At 35.5% G+C, this 20436-nt stretch overlaps 1 long non-coding RNA gene across 1 annotated transcript in view; it reads right to left on the bottom strand.

The window, feature by feature from the left end:
* Positions 1-335: 335 nt before the first annotated feature.
* LINC02661 (long intergenic non-protein coding RNA 2661) overlaps positions 336-20436 on the bottom strand; it is a 132148-nt gene continuing 112047 nt past the window's right edge. The window contains exons 4-5 of the long non-coding RNA NR_187538.1: positions 1930-2069; positions 336-559 (exon numbers count right to left, since the gene is read on the bottom strand). This is a non-coding gene — a long non-coding RNA (long intergenic non-protein coding RNA 2661). The remainder of the gene's footprint in view (positions 560-1929; positions 2070-20436) is intronic.

The following is a 20436-nucleotide window of genomic DNA, read 5'->3' as shown; positions in this document are numbered from 1 at the left end:
GATTCTGTTGAATATTGTGATGAGGGAACTGAAATGATATGGTGTTAGTGATCTCACCTACTTCAAGCAAGAAGTTCTAATCTTTGAATAAATGACAAAAGGAATCTTTTGATAACATTTAGGCACTGAAGTCTCTGATTTTTGACGGAGAAGATAGTGGACTTTTGAAAAACTCCAAACCTTGATTATATGCACTGAATCGTTAAGCACTTAACTTTCATGTATAAAAGTGAGATTTTTAATCTTCCAAGCTTTCATGAAATTGAGGCCAAGAATTGAATTCTGATTCATGAAATGAAAGTTCAAACACTCTTTCAATAAATGCAATAAAGTGGTATAATGAAATGGTTTAATGGCTTTACGTTTTTTCTCTTCTTTACACAGCATCTCTTAGCTGGAGACTGGCTGCTCTATTTTCCAGGCAGCATGTATTTGAGAAGCCATGTGAAGTAGAGGTAGATTCTGGGGCCAGGTATCCTGGACTCAAATTTTGTTTCTGCTGCTACATAGCTGTGTAACTTTAAATCAACTCTTTCTCTCTAAGTACATGTGTCTTTATCTGCAAAAGAGGAATAAAGAAAGTTTTTGTGAGGGTTAAATGAGTTAATATCAGTAAGTCTTAAGACAGAACCTGCCACAAAGTGCATTATTCATGTGGATATTATTAAGTAGTCACTAGTAATAGTTTCGTGCCATAACTATGTGTAATGAACATCTGATACTTAGATTTGTACAGCACCCTTTCCTCCAGCTATTGCTAACAAGTTTTTAAAATTTCCTTTGAAGTACAACTCTCTTCTACTCTAAGTCTTGGTAAGACTGTCAGTAGAGGCTCCCTGTACTCCCCAAGCCAAATCTGAAATCTCCTGATTCTTTCCCAGGAATTTGAATCTTGGGTAGGTAGGGTGACACAGAAATAGTCAGAGTTGATACATATCAAGGGTAGTGCTCCAAAGTGCCTATTTTGTTTTTCCTGCTATTTATATTCCCCCAATTATCCTGTCTCCTTCCTATTCTTCTTTTCAGACTACTCATTTTTCCCTCCTCCTCCAAATTAACTCCCATAGAGGCAGTTTAAGGAACATCTTTTGTTACTGGAGTGTGTCTCCTGGAAGTCTCAAGTCTTATCTTATTTACCTGAGTGGTTGTTCCAGCCACACAAAATATTTTTTTCTTGTTATATTTCAAAAGACACTTAGTACCTTATGCATATTTTAGAGCTCTTTATATAATATATAGGCACAATAGAAAACTGTCTGGCTTGTTTCTAGAATACAAACCTAAACCCTAACATACTTACATTCATTAAAGTCTCATTTTCCCCCCTCCTTTGACTTAAATCATTTCACTTTTCAATCTTTCACTCTTAATATTTTTCTAGCTTGAGTTCAATGGGCATTAGGATACAAATATTGTTTTCTAAATAACTGTAAGCAGAAGGGAATGAAGACAGTTATGACTGAACATTTTTACTACATTTCATTATGTATGACAATCTTACTGAAGAGAGAAATCGGTCTTTGACAGCTTTACATATATGTGTATGTGTGTGATTTATTTAATATTTAGAATATAATGAACTTGGCTAAGTTTTTTGAGTAGTTTTTGGGTGCTAAGCACTGTGTTAGGTTGAATGATACAAAGTGAAAGACACAATCCCTGGTACGAAAAAGCTTTTAATCTTCTATGAGAGGTATGTATCTTGTATGTTGCCAGATACACTAGCCTTTAGGTTAAAAAAAAATGCCAATTTAACTTTTTTATTGTTTTTGAGGTAATGGTAGTGATAGATGCAGGAGTCAGATGAGGGAGGGTCCCCAGAGAATCTCCGACTCACCCCACAAGTGTTTACATCAGATGCTTTTGTGCAGATGAGGGAACCTGCCCAGGGTCTTTTCTGCACATGCCTGCAATGGATGAGGGGCCCACCTGCACACTGGGAGAATGGGGAGGAGCCTGGCCTCTTCAGTTCTTGTGTGGTGGCCTGGCATTCAGGCTGTGAGGTGAAAGCCTATTAGCAGTACTCCTTCTTTTTTCACTGAGAGCAGCCAGTCTCCAGATAACAGATGCTGTGTAAAGGAGAAGAGAAAACACATAAAGCCATTTTACGAAGGAGCCTATTAGCAGTACTCCTTTTTTTCTGCTTTCCTCACCCTTCAATGTGTCCATGTGCCTAATCTTTTCTGGTTGTTTGACAAGAACGCATTTTTAGCTGAACTAAGGAGCAAAAATTCCTCATCACTAACACATAGTAAATTTATATATTTATGGGGTACAGTATGATTTTTTGATACATTTGATGTTGGATTCACAATGGCTATCAGGCCTTATTAGTCTAATGCTAGACATCAATTTCTCTTCCTTTCCTTAAAAATTTCCTATTTTTTTTGATGCATTCAGTTTGGTTCATCACATATGCTATTCATACATTTCCAATGTCTCTTCTCCCTGATCTTTAACATTAATTCATGCAGGATTTGATTTATCCAAGTTGTTTATCATCAGAGTATCATAGCTATCTTCTATGAGAGGTATGTATCTGGTATGTTGCCAGATACAGATAAGTCCTGCCTGTGGAAGATGTTGTCTAAAATACTCCTAAAGGAAGACTCAGCAACGTCTGTGCCTTTATCCAGAGCTTTCTTCTCACCTCTCTGTACCTTGCTTCTTCCTGTGCCTACTGTACTGCTGTGGTTAGCAGGGACCCATCGCCTCGGCAGATGGTAGTGCTCACTTGAGTCGTGAGAAAATGGCAATGTGAAATCAAAAGGTGCCTGTAGAAACAAGAGGCTCTTGCTGGTAGGCTGCAGAAGAAACCGTCAAATGATAAAAAATAATAATAACTACAAAAGATGCCTTAGCTATAGCTGGCCTTTATGAAGAAATAGTGAGAGACATCGTGTTGGGCTTTTATATTTTTCTACAGTATTTCTAGGCTTGATGTCTCTGTGATATAATTACTAATGAAGAAAGCTGGGAAATTTTGATTTAATTTATAATAGTGAATCCTAGCACTAACTGATATCATATTTTGAAACAATGCTTTCACACATTGAAACATAACAAATATTAGCACAATCTCTCAAGCAAAGTTAGTTTTCTCCATGTTTTCCACATCTGAAAACCAGAGGAGAGATGCGGGTGACTGTGGTTCCAAGGTATCCTCAGTGCTATCTGAAATAGCTCAAACAACACGCTATCTAGCTTCCAGAATCTCCTCTTTGTTTTCTTCATTCCCTTAAAATAATGCTTGTCTCAGGGAGTTGAGTTCTACTCAAAAATAGATGTACAACTTCAGCTACTCATTTATCTCCTAGAAACTGTGAACCAATTCTGCTCTTTGCCCCACATACCAAAAGACTGCTATTTTCATCTTTAGAGGAAGATGACTGTGTTGGCAGACTACTCATTACTGCCATTAGAAAATAGGTATTCAAGCTAAAAATAATGAGGAAGGTGAAATGTGTGCAAATTTCAAATGAGATTGGACAAAGCCCTCCAGACAGTGCTAAAAGGAACAATACAGTATTGTCATTAGGGCTGCATCAGGTGACCTCTCTGTAATGGGTCCTTTCTTCCCCTGCACTCACTTTTGAAATCCTATTATGATGAAAATGGGCTGAGCAAATGAGCTCCAAATACATCTAGATTTTAAAAGTATTCCATAACCGCTTTTAATCTGGTAATTTAAAAGTATAACCTCCAGATAAGTTTCACCATCAATCTCCATTACAGATCTTATAATTACTTAAAAAAGAAAGGGAGTAATTTCAGCATATTTTTCTTTATCTCATAATTTCATAACATTATGCCTATCTTGGAAGTCTACACTGTAGTTTGCGTGTTTTCCTAATTAAAAATATATTGCCTTTTTTTCTGTTCCTGCTGAGAAAAAAAAAAGAACTCTTGTCAAAAAATATTTGTTTACCTGTGGATGGACTTGATACCCATTATCCTAAGCAAATTAACAGAGGAACAGACAAATACCACATGTTCTCACTTAAAAATGAGAGTTAAAGATGACAAGAGTAGACACTGGGGACTACTAGAGGGGGTAGCTAGGGAGGGGCGTAAGGGTTGAAAAACTATTGGGTACTATGCTCAGTACCCGGGTGACAGGATGATTCGTATTCCGAACTTCAGCATCATGCAATATACCCAGTTAACAAACTTGCACATGGACCCTGAATCTAAAAGAAAAGTTGAAAAACAAAACAACAAAATTTATGCACAAGATCAAAGCCTCACACTCTTATAGTTACGCTTTCTCTTTACTTGGAAAATAACACTGTCAATTCAAGTAACTAAAAAGTAAGTTTAGAATCTCTGAAGGATTTGGAGATTTCATTTGTTTATCATTGTTACTAATTTCCTAGTTAGTGGAATCATTTGACTACTTCTTTCAAATATCAACAACCCTTTCATCTAACTCTCTTAGATGAAATAAGAAAGTGTTATTCAGGTATTAGTCATACTCGCTCATGTATAACCCTTGTTATTGTCAAGAGACCCAAACTCGTGACTTTAAAAATCAGGTAGGATTTGGCCTTAAGAAGTAACCAAATTGGATATCGAATTTAAATTAAATAATTAACAAAATGATAGGTAGAAGTACGTCACAGATAAATGTTTGGCTCTGGGAAAATCATTGAATCTCTCAGAAGTAAAATTCCCATAAAAGGGGAATTGTAAAAACATCACAGCTGAAATAAACGAAGTATCGTATGAACAACAAAAAATAAGTTGTTTATGGCTTGAGATGAAATGTGCAAATAATTTCCTTAGGAAATATTAAAATAGTTTAACAGGAGAACAATAAACTTCCATATATGTGTGTGTGTATGTATATATATGTGTGTGTATATATATGTAAACACACACACACATACACACAGACACACGGGTTTGAACCATACAGGTTCACATATATGAAGATTTTTTTCCACCTCTGACACCTCTGAGACGGCAAGACCAACCTCTCTTCTTCTTCCTTTTCTTCAATCTATTCAGTGTGATCCCTTACGGTGATCCATATCCATTTAATGAATAGATTTTGATAACATTCTCTTTCTCTAGCTTCCTTTATTATAAAAATGCAGTATATATTTGTATACAAGATATGGTTAATTGACTAGTCAGTAAAGCTTCAACAGTAGGCTATTAAGAAAGTTTTGGGGAGTCAAAAGTTATACACTGATTTTCTAATGAATGGGAGTAGGCACCCTTAAACTCCGAGTGGTTAAAGAATCCAATGTATATATGAAACTTTGATAGCAGCCAGTTGATATACTTACCGTAAATAGAAGACATTCCTATTAAAAAATTCTAACATCTAATTCTATTGGCAAATTTCATGAAAGGGATAGAAAAGAACACAGCTATGAAGCAGAGGCACTGGACTGCTTCAGTTAGACATTGGTGACTTGTCTTTAGAAGGCCCTCTGGATGGTTAAGCTTCTCATTCCCCCTTCCCTTAACTTTAGTAGACTAATCTACTTGCTTTCCATATGCGTTTGTCTTTTTTGAACATTTCATATACATGGAATTATAAAATATCTAGTCATTTATAACTGCTGTTTTTACAGGTATTCTAGGCAAAACTGTTTTGAATATGTCAGTACCTGATTTCATTTTATTGCTAAATAATGTGTTCTATTATATAGATAAGGCACATTTTGTTTATCCATCCACTGCCTGGTGGACACTGGATGGTTAAACCTTTTTTGCTATTACAAGTAATGCTGCTATGAATATTTGTGCACAGGTGTTTTTGTGAAAATACATTTTTTCCTCTTGGGTATATATTCCTAAGCATAAAATTACAGTGTTATGTGGAAACTCCATATATAATATTTTGAGATACTGTTAAACTGTTTTCTTAAGGATTGTATCATTTTAAAATTCCACTAGCAATATATGAGGTTTTAATTTGTTTACATCCTTGCCAACACTTACTATTATTGTTCTTTTTAAAATTTAGCCATACTAGTGGGTATGAAAAAGTATTTTATTATGGTTTTGATTTATATTTCCCTAATGATGAATGAGGCTTAGCATTTTTCATGTGTTTATTGACCATCTGTATATCTTCTTTGGAAAAATCACTATTCAAATATTTTACCCATTATTTTATTTTTTTATTTTTTATTTTTATTTTTTTTTTGAGACAGAGTCTCACTCTGTCCCCCAGGCTGGAGTGCAGTGGCGCAATCTAGGCTCTCTGCAAGCTCTGCCTCATTGGTTCATGCCATTCTCCTGCCTCAGCCTCCCTAGTAGCTGGGACTACAGGTGCCCTCCACCATGCCGGGCTAATTTTTTTGTATTTTTAGTAGAGACGGTTTCACCGTGTTAGCCAGGATGGTCTCGATCTCCTGACCTCGTGATCCACCCAGCTCGGCCTCCCAAAGTGCTAGAATTACAGGCATGAGCCACCACGCCCGGCTATTTTACCCATTATTAATTTGATTATTTGTCTTTTTAATTTTGAATTATAGGACTTAAAAATATATATTCTGAATGTAAGTCCCTTATTAGATATATTATTATAAATATTTTTTCCCATTCCATGAGCTGATTTTTCACTTTCTTTATTGTGCCCTTTAAATACAAAATTTTTAAGTTTGCTAAAGTCCAATTGATCTATTGTTTTTATCACTTATACTCTAAACGGCATTACCTAGCTCAGGTCACTAAATTTACATTTTCTTCCACGTGTTTTATGGTTTTAGCTTTTATGTATACGTCTATGATTCACTTTGTGTTGATATTAATGTATGATATGAGAACAGGGTCTAATTTTTTTTTTTGCCTGTACCTCTCCTTTGGTCCTACCAGTTTTTTTTGTTGAAAAGATTATTTCCCACCATTAAATTATCTTGTACCTTGTCAAATAACAGTTTATAATAAATGTATAGGCTCTTGAACTTTTCAGTTACCATCCATTGATCAATATGTCCATCCTTATAGTAGTACTACAGTATCTTGATTAATGTCATTTGCTAGTTTGTAGTAAGTTCTGAAATAAGAAAGTGTGAACCCACTGACTTTATTCTTTCTTTTTATTAAAGGTGTTTTGAGTTGTCTGAATCACTTGCAATTTTATATAAATTTCAAGGTCAGCTTATCAATTTAAGCTAGAAAAAAGCTATGATTTTATTAATGCTTGCATTGGCGCTGTAGATTATTTTGGGAGTATTGTCATCTTAACAACATTAAGTACTTCAATTTATAAACGTGGACTGTGTTGCCATCTTAGTAGATTTTAATTTCTTTCAACAATACGCTATAGTTTTCAGTGTCTAAGGCTTACACCTCTCTTGTTAAATTTATTCCTAAGTATTTTTTTATTTATAATTCTATTGAAACACAAATGTGTTCTCATTGCATTTTTATAATTTTCACTAACAATTTATAGAGATACAATTAACTTTCATTTATGAAAATGTTATTGTACAACCTTGTTAAATGTGTATAATACTTCTCATAGTAATTTTTTGGTGTTCTTAGATTTTTCTACATTGAATGTCATGCCATTCTGCGAAATGAGACAATTTAATTGTTCCTTTCTGATCTGACTTACCTTGTTCTTTGTTATTCTAACCTAATGATCTAGCTAGAACCTCCAATACAATGTTGAATATAACTGGCAAGAGTGGGCATCTTGTCTTTCTCCTCACTTTAGGGGGCAAATACATAATATTTCGCCATTGTTAAGTATGATGTTATCTGTGCATTTTTCTTAAATATCCTTAAACAGGTTGAGGAGTTTTCCTTTTATTCCTAATGTGTTGAGTGTTTTCACATGAAAAATGTGTTGGCTTTGTCTGAATGATTTTTCTATGTGTATTGATAAGATACTGTAGTTCTAAGTATCTTAAGACTTTTATTCCATAGAGTATACTGGTTAATTTTAAGATGGTGAAACATTCTTGAGAAAAACTTCATTTGGCCATGGTGTATAATCTATTTTACATGTTAATGATTCTATTGCTAGCATTTTCTTGAGAATTTTTATGTCTATATTCACAAGGAATGTTGGTGTGGAGTTTTTTTCCATGCCTTTTTCTGGTTTTGCTATTGGAATAATAATTACCTCTTAGAATGAGTTTAGAATTTCCCTTTTTTGGAATAGTTAAGGTATGCTATTGTGTGTTCTTTAAATGTTGAATAGTATTCACCAGTAAAACCATCTGGCCTGGCCATAATTTGTGCAAAGTATTTTTTAATTACAAAATTATTTTGTATTTATTATAAGCTTATTCAGCTTTAGAATGTCTTCATCATTCAGTTTCAATAGTTTATTGTGGAATTGTCCATTTCATTTTGGGTTGAAAATTATTATCATTATTATTTTGAGATGGAGTCTTGTACTGTCACCCAGGCTGAAGTGCAATGGCGTGATCTCTGCTCACTGCAACTTCCACCTCCCAGTTTCAAGTGATTCTCCTGCTTCAGCCTCCCAAGTAGCTGGGATTACAGGCACCCACCACCACACCTGGCTAATATTTTGTATTTTTAATAGAGATGGGGTTTCTCTTTGGGCAGGCTGATCTTGAACTCCTGACCTCATGATCCGCCCACCTCGGCCTCCCAAAGTGTTGGGATTACAGGCGTGAGCCACCGTGCATGGCCTGAAGTTTTTTTTTTCAAGCAAGTGTTTATAGTATTATCTTACAATCTAATGCAATTTTATAAGGTCGGCATTCATGTTCTGCCTTTCATAATTTCAATAATATGAGGTTTTCTCTTTATTTCTTAGACAATCTATTACAAAATAGCTTCTTGGTACTATTTCTCTAGTGCTTTTATTCTTTCTCTCATTTATTTTTCATTGTACTCTTTTGTTAACTTCAATTTTAAGTTGAGGGATATATGTGCAGGATGTGCAGGTTTGTACATAGTAAACATAAGTCATGGGGGTTGGTTCTACAGATTATTTCATCACCCAGGTATTAAGTCTAGTATCCATTAGTTGTTTTTCCTGATCCTCTCCCTCCTCCCACCCTCCACCCTCTGAAAGGCCCCAGTGTGTGTTGTTCACCTCTATGTATCCATGTGTCTTCATCACTTAGTTCCCACATATAAGTGAGAACATGTGGTATTTGCTTTTTCTGTTCTTGTGTTAGTTTGCAAAAGATAATGGCCTGCAGCTCCATCCATGTCCTGGAAAGGACATGATCTCATTCTATTTATGGCTGCATACTATTCCGTGGCATATATGTACCACATATTCTTTATCCAGTCTATCACCAATGGGCATTTGGGTTGATGCTATGTCTTTGCTAATGTGAATAGTGCTGCAATGAACATACGCATGCATGTGTCTTCACAATGGAATGATTTATATTCCTTTGGTTATATTCCCAGTATTGGAATTACTGGGTTGAGTGGAAGTGCTATTTTTGGGTCTTTGAGGAATTACCACACTGTCTTCCACAATGGTTGAACTGACTGATTAAAGAAATGCAAATCAAAACCACTGTGAGATATTTTCTCACACCAGTCAGAATGGCTATTATTAAAAAATCAAAAAATAACATGCTGGTGAGGTTGTGAAGAAAATGCAACACTTTTACATCATACTCTTTATTATTTTTTTTCTTCTGCTTGCTTTGGCTGAGTTGCTTTTATTTTTCTAGTTTCTTTAGGTGGAAAATTTGGTGGATGGGTTGAGACCTTTCTGATTTTATAATATAGGTTTTGATAGTCATAAATATCCTCTAAGCACTGCTTTTACTACATCACATAAATTTTACTATATGATTTTATTCATATAAAATTATTTAGTAATTTACCTATGTTTTATTAGTTGACCTGTTGATTACTTAGAATGCTGCTGTTTACTTTCCACCTATATATAATATCCCAAATATCTTTATATTATTGATTTATACATTTATTGTGGTTGAATAACACACTTTATATAATAATTTTAATCTTTTCCTATAACCGATTTGTCCATAATGTAACATATTTTATAGCCTGGAGAATGTTTCACATGTACATAAGAAGAGTGTGTATTCTGTTCTTGGGTGGAGTGCTGTATAGATGTTTTAGATCTAGTTATCACATTTGTTTTCCAATGTTGCTGTACAAAATTACCACAAACTCAGTGGCTTAAAACAACACAAATATATAACAATTGTTTAAGGGCAGAGTTTGAGTAAAATCAATATGTTGACAGGGATTCACTCCCTTCTGGAGTCTCTAGGGAATACGCTGTTTCCTTGTCATTTTTTTAACTTCTACAGGCTACCTGTACTTCTTGCTCATGATGTTTTTCTTTGCCATCTTCAAATCCAGCAATGGCAGGTGGAATTTTCACATTATATCCTTCTGACCTGTTATTGTACTACCCTTACCCAATTTTAAGAGCCCTTATGATTATATGATATGGTTTGTTTCTGTGTCCCCACTCAAATCTCGTGTCAAATTGTAATCCCCATTGTTGGAGGTCGAGCCTGGTGGGAGGTGCTTGGATCATGGGAGCGGTATTTCCCTTCAGTTCTGTTCTTGTGATTGAGAGTTGTTGTGAGATTTGGTTGTTTAAAAAGTATGTAACACCTGCTGCTACCCCTCAACCCACTCCTGCAATCTAAGACATGCCTGCTTTCCCTTTACCTTCCACCATAATTGTAAGTGCCCCGAGGCCTCCCCAGCCATGCTTCCTGTACAGCCTGTGGAACTGTGAGCCAATTAAATCTCTTTTCTTTATAAATTACCAAGTTTCAGTCTCAGATATTTTAATAGCAATGTGGGAACTAAGTAATACAGAACACTGGTACCAGAAGTAGGGCATTGCTATAAAGATAGCTGAAAATGTGAAAGTGACTTTAGAACTGGGTAACGAGAAGAGGCTGAAACAGTTTGGCGGGCTCAGAAGAAGGCAGGAAGATGAGGAAAAATTTGGAGCTTTATAGAGACTTGCTGAATGGTTGTGACCAAAATGTTGATAGTGAGATGGACAGTGAAGTCCACTCTGAGGAGGACTCAGATGAAAATGAGGAACTTACTGGGAACTGGAGTAAATATCATGCTTTCTATGCTTTAGCAAAGAGACTGGTAGCATTGTTCCCCTGTTCTAGGGATCTGTGGAACTTTGAACTTGAGAGAAATGATTTAGGGTAACTGAGGAAAGAAATTTCTAAGCAGCAAAGCACTCACTAAATGGCCTGGCAGCTTCTAGAGCTTATGCTCATATGCATCAGCAAACTGAGTGACCTGAAACTGGAATTTATATTTAAAAGGGAAACAGAGTGTAAATGTTCAGAAAATTTGCAGCCTGGCTACGTGGTAGAAAAAAAAAAACTCATTTTTCTGGGGAGAAATTAAAGCCAGCTGCAAAAATATGCATAGCCAGAAAGCAAGTACTAAAAGCGAAGACAATGGAAACCAGGCCCTGAAGGTATTTCAGAGACCTTCACAGCAGCCCCTCTCGTCAGAGGCCAACAGGCCTAGGAAGGGAAAATTGTTTCAGGGGCCAGGCCCAGGGCCCCACTGCCCTGCGCAGCCTCAGGACACTGCTGCCTGCATCCCATCTGCTTCAGCTCCTGCCATGGCTCAAAGGGCCCAAGTACTTGCGCTGCTGCTTTAGAGGGTGAAAGCTGTAAGTCTCACTGGCTTCCATTTGGTGTTAAGCCTGCAGGTATGCAGGGTGTAAGAGTTGAGGCTTGGGAGCCTCCACCTAGATTTTAGAAGACATATGGAATAGCCTGGATGTCCAGGAATAAGCCGACTGCAGGGGTGGAGCCCTCATGGAGCACCTCTTCTTAGGGCAGTGTGGAGGGGAAATGTGGGTTTGGAGCCCCCACAAAGAGTTCTCTCTGGAGTACTGCTTAGTGGAGGTGTGAGAATAGGGCCACCATCCTCCAGACCCCAGAATTGTAGATACACCAACAGCTTGTATCTTGCACCTGGAAAAGCCACAGGCACTTAATACAAGCCTTTGAGAACAGCTTGGGGACTGAGCTCTGCTGCACCACAGAAGCGGAGCTGCCTAAGGCCTTGGGAGCCCATAGCTTTCACCAGTGTGCACTGCATGTGAGACATACAATCAAAATAGGTAGTTTTGGAGATTTAAAATTTAATGACTACCCTGCTGGGTTTTGGACTTGCGTGGGGTCTGTAGCCTCTTTCTTTTGGCTAATTTCTCACTTTTGGAAAGGGAGTATTTACCCAATGCCTATACCTTCACTTTAACTTGGAAGTAATGAACTTTTTAAATACATTTTACATGCTCATAGGTAAAAGGGATTAGCTTTGTCTCAGATGGCACTTGGGACTTTTGAGTTAATGCAGGAATGAGTTAAGGCTTTGGGGAACTCCTGGGAAGGCATGATTATATTTTGCAATGTGAGTAGAACATGAGATTTGGTAGGGGTCAATGTAGAATAATATGGTTTGGGTCTGTGTCCTCACCCAAATATCATGTCAAATTGTAATCCCCAGTGTCGGAGTTGGGGCCTGGTAGGCGGTGATAGGATCATGGGAGTGGATTTCCTCTTTGAGGCTGTCCTCCTGATAGTGTTAGTATGAGATCTGGTTGTTTAAAAAGTGTGTAGTACCTACCCCCTCTCTCTTTCTCCTGCTTTGGCCATGTAAGATGTGCCTGCTTCCCCTTCACTGTCTGTCGGGATTGTAAATTTCCCAAATCCTCCCCAGCCATAATTCTTATACAGCCTGTGGAACCATGAGTCAATTAAAACCCTTTTCCTTATAAATTACCCAGTCTGAGATATTTCTTTATAGCAATGTGAGAACTAACTAATACATTATATTTGGCATATGTGTATAATCCAGGATAGCGTATTCATCTTAAAGTAAACTGATTAGCAATCTTAATTTCATCTTCAACCGTAATTCCCCTTTGTCATGTAACATAATAAAAACAGTGACTCTGGAGTTTAGCATGTGTACATCTTCAAGAATTCATTATTCTACCTACCAGACATACATTATTGTTTATGTGTTCTATTTCCTTATTGATAATATGCTTCCTTTTTCTATCAATTGTTAAAAGTAGGGTATGGAAATCTCTAATTATTATTTGTGAATTGTTTCTCTCCATTCCTGACTATTGTTGATTGATATGTTTTATTGACTCTGTTGGATGCATGTATGTTTATAATGTTTATGTCTTCTGAATTTATTATTTTCATTATTATAAAATTTCTCTATTTTTCTTTAATAATATTTTTTGCTTAAACACTGTTTTGTCTAATACTAGCATAGCCTCTTCAGCTCTCTTTTGACTACATTTTGCATGATACATCTTTTTTAATATTTTATTTTCACCCTATTTATGTTTTAAAAGTGTGTTGTACATAAAATGTAGTTGAATTACGTTTTTTCAATTTATTTTGACAGTCTCTTGAATGGAGTGTTCAGCCCATTTTTATTTAATGTAATCATTAATAAAGTGGGTTTTACATCTGTCATTTTGCTTTTTATTTTCCATATGACTCATGCAATTTTAAAATTTCCCCATTACTGCTATCTAGGTATTCTCTAGTATATTAATTTCTTGTATGTATAGTACATTTTTTAGTTATTTTCTTTGTGCTTTCTCAGAGAATTATAATATACATCTTATCTTCAAATTATCTAGTGTGGATTAACATCAACTTAATTTCTATATTATTTGAAATTTTGCCAAAAAATAATATTTCCCTATCCCCTCTCATGCCATTATCATACAAATTACTTCTTTATAATTATAAGACCATCAACAGGGTTTTATAATTATTGCTTATGCAGATGTCTTTAAAAATAGGAAAATAGAGCTACAAATAAAAATGCATTTATAATATTATTTGTATTTGCCAAAGTAGTTACCTTTACAGATGCTCTTTATGTTTCTGTATGGATATGGGTTGCTCCCACTGTTTCTTTTTCTTTTATTTCAGCCTGAAATGCTTGTTTTAATAGTTCTTATGAGACAGTTTGTTAAAATGCTCTTCATATTTATCTAGACATGTCTTAATTTCTTCTGCGTGCTTTTAAGGATAGTTTTTCTAGATACAGATTTTTTAATATAGTGTTTATTTTCCCAGCAGTTTGAATACATCAACCCATTGCCCCTGGGCTCAGTGATTTCTGATGAGAAGCTAGCTGTTCATCTTATTGGAGATCTCTTGTATATGATGAGTTACTTCTCTTTTGCTGATTTCAAAATTTTCCCTTTGTCTTTGACTTTTGATAGTTTTATTATAATTTGTCTAAGGTGGATCTCTTTGAGTTTATCCTACTCATAGTGTGTTAAAGTTCTTGAAGGCAGAGACTAATGTTTTCTATCGAATTGTAAAATTTGTGGCCATTATTTCTTCAAATATTTTTTCTATCTGATTATGCCTCTTTTTTTTCTAGAATTCCCAAATCCAGAATTATATTTGCTTCTTTTAGAAATAATTTTTCTTTTTTGAACTTTTCTATTTCATGGAATTTTATTCTCATATATCCTCTAATTATTTGGACAACAGTCCTTTTATTTCTTTAAACATATTTATAATAGCTGATTTATAGCCTTTTTAAAATTTAAAGTCTAAACATCTTGGCTTCCATATTCACCTTTTCTATCATAGTTATTTTTCCTGTGTGAAAAAAATATGTAAGCAACACTTTCTGTTTCATTATATGTCTTACAATTTTATGTTGAAACTAGACATTTAAAATAATACAATATAAAATAGATAATATTTTAATGTTAAAGTATTAAATTTTAATATTAAATGTATTATATTTAAATAATATAGCATGACAATATTGTAAATCAGAACTCTCTCCCACACACACACTTCAGAGTTTCATGTTGTTGCTGTTTGCTGATGTTTCTTGCTGTTGTCAATCCTTTGTTTAGTGATCTTTCTGGTCTAATCGTGTAAAGCATGTATTTCCTGTCATATGTGGCTGCTTAAGCCTCCACTTGATATCCTTAATACTCATTTAATAGACAGAAAATTCCTTAATTGATGTAACCTTACAGTCTCCCAGCCTTTGTCGAGTGGTTCTTGTTGTGTTGAGACATCTCTTCAATTCTCCAGCAGTTCACAACTTTTTTTTAGCCTTCACTTCTTTCCTATGCAGAACCTCAAGTCATACATATGCAAAAGATTGTGTTTTTTTTAAGTTTTTTCAAAGCATATGCATATACTAGCACATATGTGTGGCCCACAAGATTCAAAGGAGTATGTTGGAGCTTTTTAAAAACTTCCCATAGACATCTGACTTCCAAGGTATTTAATTTTTTTGACAAACCTATTGTTTTTCCCCACCCAGGCATGTATGATGTTAAACAATTTCCTTTTTTTTTTTTTTTGCTGTTTTCAAATTCCTGGGTATTAAACTTTTAACACTGAGTAAATTCTTAGGAAGGGCCAAATAATGATAAATCCTGTGAATGCATCTTTTACAGGTTGCTTCCAATAACAGTCACATAGTGAAAATACTTTGGGGATGGGGCTTTTTTGAAAGTTCCAATTGTAATATACTCCCCTCAGTGGCTGATAGGCATGTTGTTCATAACTTCCCTGGTTGTAAGGATGCTGCTTTTATGGCTTCTGCAGAGCTGGAGAGAAGGGGATGGGTTTAAGGCAAGTTAGAGCACAACAAGTGTAAAGCTTATAATTTAATTCAGAATTATTTCTTGAATAAATATTACTTATTCTTGCAAGCATTTATTCATTTTTGAAATCCTGTAAAAGTTGATTTTGACAATATTCATCGGTGTTTTCAGGTTTTTAATAAGACAGTAGATTTTTCAGGGCTTCATATCCCACTATTTTAAAAATCATAACTGGACAGTGGAACTCTTAATTTTAGAATTCCAGTGTCATTTTGACAGGGTCACCATGTCAAAACAAAAGGACTCAGAGATTTGTCAGTATACTTATGAGTTATCAGGGATTCTTTGAACAATTGATCCATCTCTAGTTATTTTTTAGTTAAAAAGTGAAGCCTGCAAAACAGCCCTAGATCTTATTATAGTTATTCTGAATCCTCCTGTCTTTGAGGGGCTCAGGGAAATATTACCACCTACAGCCCCGTGAGAAGAGAGCACAGTATCACTGGGGACAATATTGGATGAGAACACTATAATAACTTATGGGAAAATTGCAAATTCTGATATTTCCCTCTTGGAAGTATAGGCTAACTATTCCCCTCCCATTTTTTTCCTTTGGTAAATTTTGTTGCACTGGATAATGTGATGGCTAATGAGCTTTTGGGATGAATAATTCTAAATTATAAAAGCATTCTACTCTTCACTAAAAAATCATGAAGCTCCATGCTCCTGCCTTGGTAACGATATTCTAATACGCACTATTATGGTAACTGTCCCTTCCTTATCCTTGCTTATGAGTCCATGAATATCTGTTGATAACCAGGGGTTGACTTCCAGTTAATTGTTGGAGTCTTATATTAACACAATACGTTACGTCCCAAGGTGTCACTTATTGTGGTTAAATCTTAAGGTCCACCATTTTTCACAAATCTCTTCACCTGTGAGTGAGATGCAGCCTGGATTGCAGAATGCTATATCTTTATTTTAATCACCAGAGCTTGGTTTTAATAATCACATGCTGCACTAACAAAATAAGAGAAGCAATAAAATTATTATTGAGAAAACACACGTGTCTCTGATGCAGGTTATTTTTGTAATGCTTCTTAAAGATCTTTACAACTTTAGTAAATAGAAGAACAAGACAATAAAACATAGTATTAAAGAGAGCATTAAAAATGTAAGTGGATTTCTTATGTATTTAATTTGTAATAACATTTAGAACTTGCTAACAGTTGGTTTGTAAATGTCATTTAGTTGCTTAACATATGTGTCCAAATTCCACAAGCAGATTGCAAAATTTATGAGAAGACTTCTCTATGTTGTTTGGATTTCTTCAAGAGGAATCAGAGTGTCATACAGGTTGAGCATTTCTAATTCAATAATCCAAAATGCTTCAAAATACAAAATATTTTGTGTGCCATGCGGCACTCAAAAGAAAATGCTCACTGGAGCATTCCATATTTGCATTGTTTTGGATTAGGGATGCTCAACCAGTAGGTATAATACAAATATTCCATAATCTTAAAAAATCTGATTTCCAAAACAAGCATTTCAGATAAAGGATACTCGAGCCCCCATACAGGTGCAAAACTAGTTTCTCCACAAACTAAAACTTTAAGAAAAAAATTAGATAAAAATATAAATTGTTGGCACAGGTGAGATTCATATATGTAATGAATAATTATATAATATTATTCTCTTCTATAGCCTAGATTTGAATCATCTTTAAAATATGCTAAAATGTATTATCTGGCAAAACTTTGTGGTTTAATCAATATTGGGCTTCAAATTACCATTATGCCTGGGAATTGCTATCAATTTAAACAAGATACTTTTTATACTCTTAGGGGAAAAACAACCAAACACAAAACAGATAAGCCTCATCTGAACCATCAGAACTATTATCTTGCCTAATTTCTTCATAGTGATAGCATTCATTGCCCTAAAATAGCCCATAGTTAGCATATCCACACTCACTCAATGAGTAATAAAATAAAATTAAATGAAGTTTCTGGTACACGAATTGGCTTGATAATATTGGACCCTATGAACTTGCCTCCTTGGTTAAAATAATAAACACAGCCCAATATAAATTAAAACAGGGCCTTCAATATTGAAACTCATTATGCAAGACCTATTTAGAGAAATAGTGATTATGGCTACTGTTGTGACAATTATAAGCCAAATTTGCTCCTTTCTAAAACTTGAAAAGGATAAATAGCACCTCACAATTAGTTGGTGCAATCTTAATGCTGTAGTCCCGCTGATTAAGGCCCCTACACCCAATATTACTGAGGTAAAAATCAAAGAGATTCCTTGCCATCAGAAGCTAGTAAATATTTAGCAGTCATGTTCTGTTCACTGTCTGTTTCAACAGCCTCTCAGCTGCAATTTGTCTTCACTTTCAAAGGGACACAATATGCCTTTAATCAGCTACCCTGAGGCAGATAATTAAATTAATATAGGGAAATCTAAAAACATAAAATGTCCACGAAGTGAATAAAATACTTAGATCCAATTCCAGGCAACACCGCTTTGGTAGGAAATATCTAGTAATTTTTCCCCTTTTTACAGATCTTTAAAGGACTTCACTTCTGAGGGCCAGGAAGACTCATCATCTGGTTTCAATCATGGGCCTTATAACTAACTGCGTAAAATGGTAAGGTGAGAGGTAGAAAAGGCTGTTGTGATTGGGGAGTAGAAGAAAGAATTCCCCAACTTTATCAGAACCTTTCAAATATCTACAAGGGCTCAAATAAATCTTCTTGTAAAAGCATCATTTAGTTTCCACTGCCAGAATAGATGGCAACAATAACTGTCTCTAAGTCCTACTTGATGATCAATTTCTACTTACTGATCCACTAGCCAATTTTCAAACATGATAAAAACAAAGTAAGAACAGATTCAATTTGACAGTTGCTCTCAGAGAGATGTACACTCAGTGCAGTAAAAGAACAGAAACAGGAAAAAAATCATGTTTTCATAGTATGATATTTGTGAAAGGATTCATAAAGAAGATAGTCAAACTACATTTTGAAACATGAGTAAAAAATCATCTGGTTTAGAAAAGACAAAATTTGGAGAGATGGGGTGTGAAAGAAGCACAGCTAATTGGAAAACAACAAGAAATTTGATGTGTCTGGGCATTCTTCTCTGACACCAGGGGCCAGTGAGCAATGATCCATTAGAAAAAATATAGAGAGCAGTTCAAAGTTTAGAAGGGAGACAGAGGGACATAGTTAAACTTGAGCTTGATTAGGGTCATGACCAGGGTAAAAGAAGAAATCCAGTATTAATGGTGCTTCTAGGATGAATGTTGTCTTTAATGCTAGATAGCTCAATCACAGCTGGTTTTTCTAACCCTCTATGGGAAAATCTCTAGTTTTTAAAGGCTGTCACTGGTGAAGCCAGTAATGTATTAAGCCCCTTTGGTGAGTAATCTTTCTAACCACCTAAAAGACTTCACTATGGTTGTCTACATGGAAAGCCCTACCTACCACATCAATGTGGGATTTAGCCATTTGTCTCAGCACCCTTTTAGCCAGACAATGGATAGAGTTCCAGGTCCACTAAATGGTGCTTCCTTCTCCACAGCCTTATGGAGTACTGTAGTATGGATATTTGCCCCTCCAAACCTCATGTTGAAATTTGATGCCCAGTATTAGAGGTGAGACTTAGTGGGACATGTTTGGGTCATGGGAGTGGATCTTTCATGAATAGATTCATGCTCCACATTGGAAAAGGGGTGAGTAAGTCTTCACTCTGTTAGTTTTTACAAGAGCTGGTTAGATAAAACCTGGCACCTGCCTCCTCTCTCTTTCCCTTCCTTTTTCACCATGTGATCTCTCCATGCGGGCTCCCCTTTGCCTTCTACCGCGAGGGGAAGCAGCTTGGGTCCCTCATCAAAAGTAGATGTTGGCTCATCATTCTTCTTGTGCAGCCTGAAAAATCATGAGCCAAGTAAACCTCGTTATGAATTACCCAGCCTCTGTTATTCTTTTATAGCAACACAAGTAGATGAAGACATGCAATAAAAGACACAAAAAGATTGTTTTAGTTTGTGTCCTGCTGCTATAACAGAATACCAAATCAAGACGCTGCCATCTGGGGAAGGCTTTCCTATGGCATCTTTACATGACAGAAGGCAGAGGGCAAGAGAAAACCAACTCCCACAGGTCTTTTTTATAGTGGATTTCTTAATCCACTCATGAGGGCTCCGCCTAACTCCTAAATACCTCTCAAAAGGCCCTACTTCCCACATTGCTGCATTGGGGGATTAAATTTACAACACATAGATTTTGGCAGAGACATTCAGACCACAGTAAAGAGTAAGATGCTTTTGAGGACCTTAAAATACTATCAGCTGAGTAGATTCTTATACAAATCAAAATGAATCTAGGCAATGAGTAAAGAAGAAGGGAGTAATAAGATTTGAGTATGAAATTATTCAGCCTCAAGATTACAATTGTGATTTAGAATTAACATGAGGAATCATTTTTAAACCCACTGGATTTCTTGTTTCTGGCTTTATCATTTATACATGGTGTAATAATAGGACAATTAATATCTTTAAAACTTTTTTCGCTACATTAAGGATAATAACTGCATGAAATTATTATCAGTCTTTGATATGAAATATGCAAAATTTCTATCTCAGTGTTTAAGCCAGAAGAAGCAACAAAATTGGTGATTTGTATAACTTGGCTTACCAGGTGATTTATTCTAAAAACAATAGGGAACTTTAAAAATATTTATTGCAAGAGGGAGACTCAAACACACAAAATATCAAAATTCTTCTCATTAATTACTATTTTGTTTCAGGCCCATCTGATGGCTCTGTGGGCAAAAACATGACCTGAATCTGCCTGTCTTGGAGTTTA

This window comes from Homo sapiens, chromosome 10 (assembly GCF_000001405.40).
Source record: "Homo sapiens chromosome 10, GRCh38.p14 Primary Assembly".
NCBI classification, from domain to species: Eukaryota; Metazoa; Chordata; class Mammalia; order Primates; family Hominidae; genus Homo; species Homo sapiens.
The sequence above is the reverse complement of the archived record's forward strand: the minus strand, read 5'-3'. Positions and strand labels throughout refer to the sequence as shown.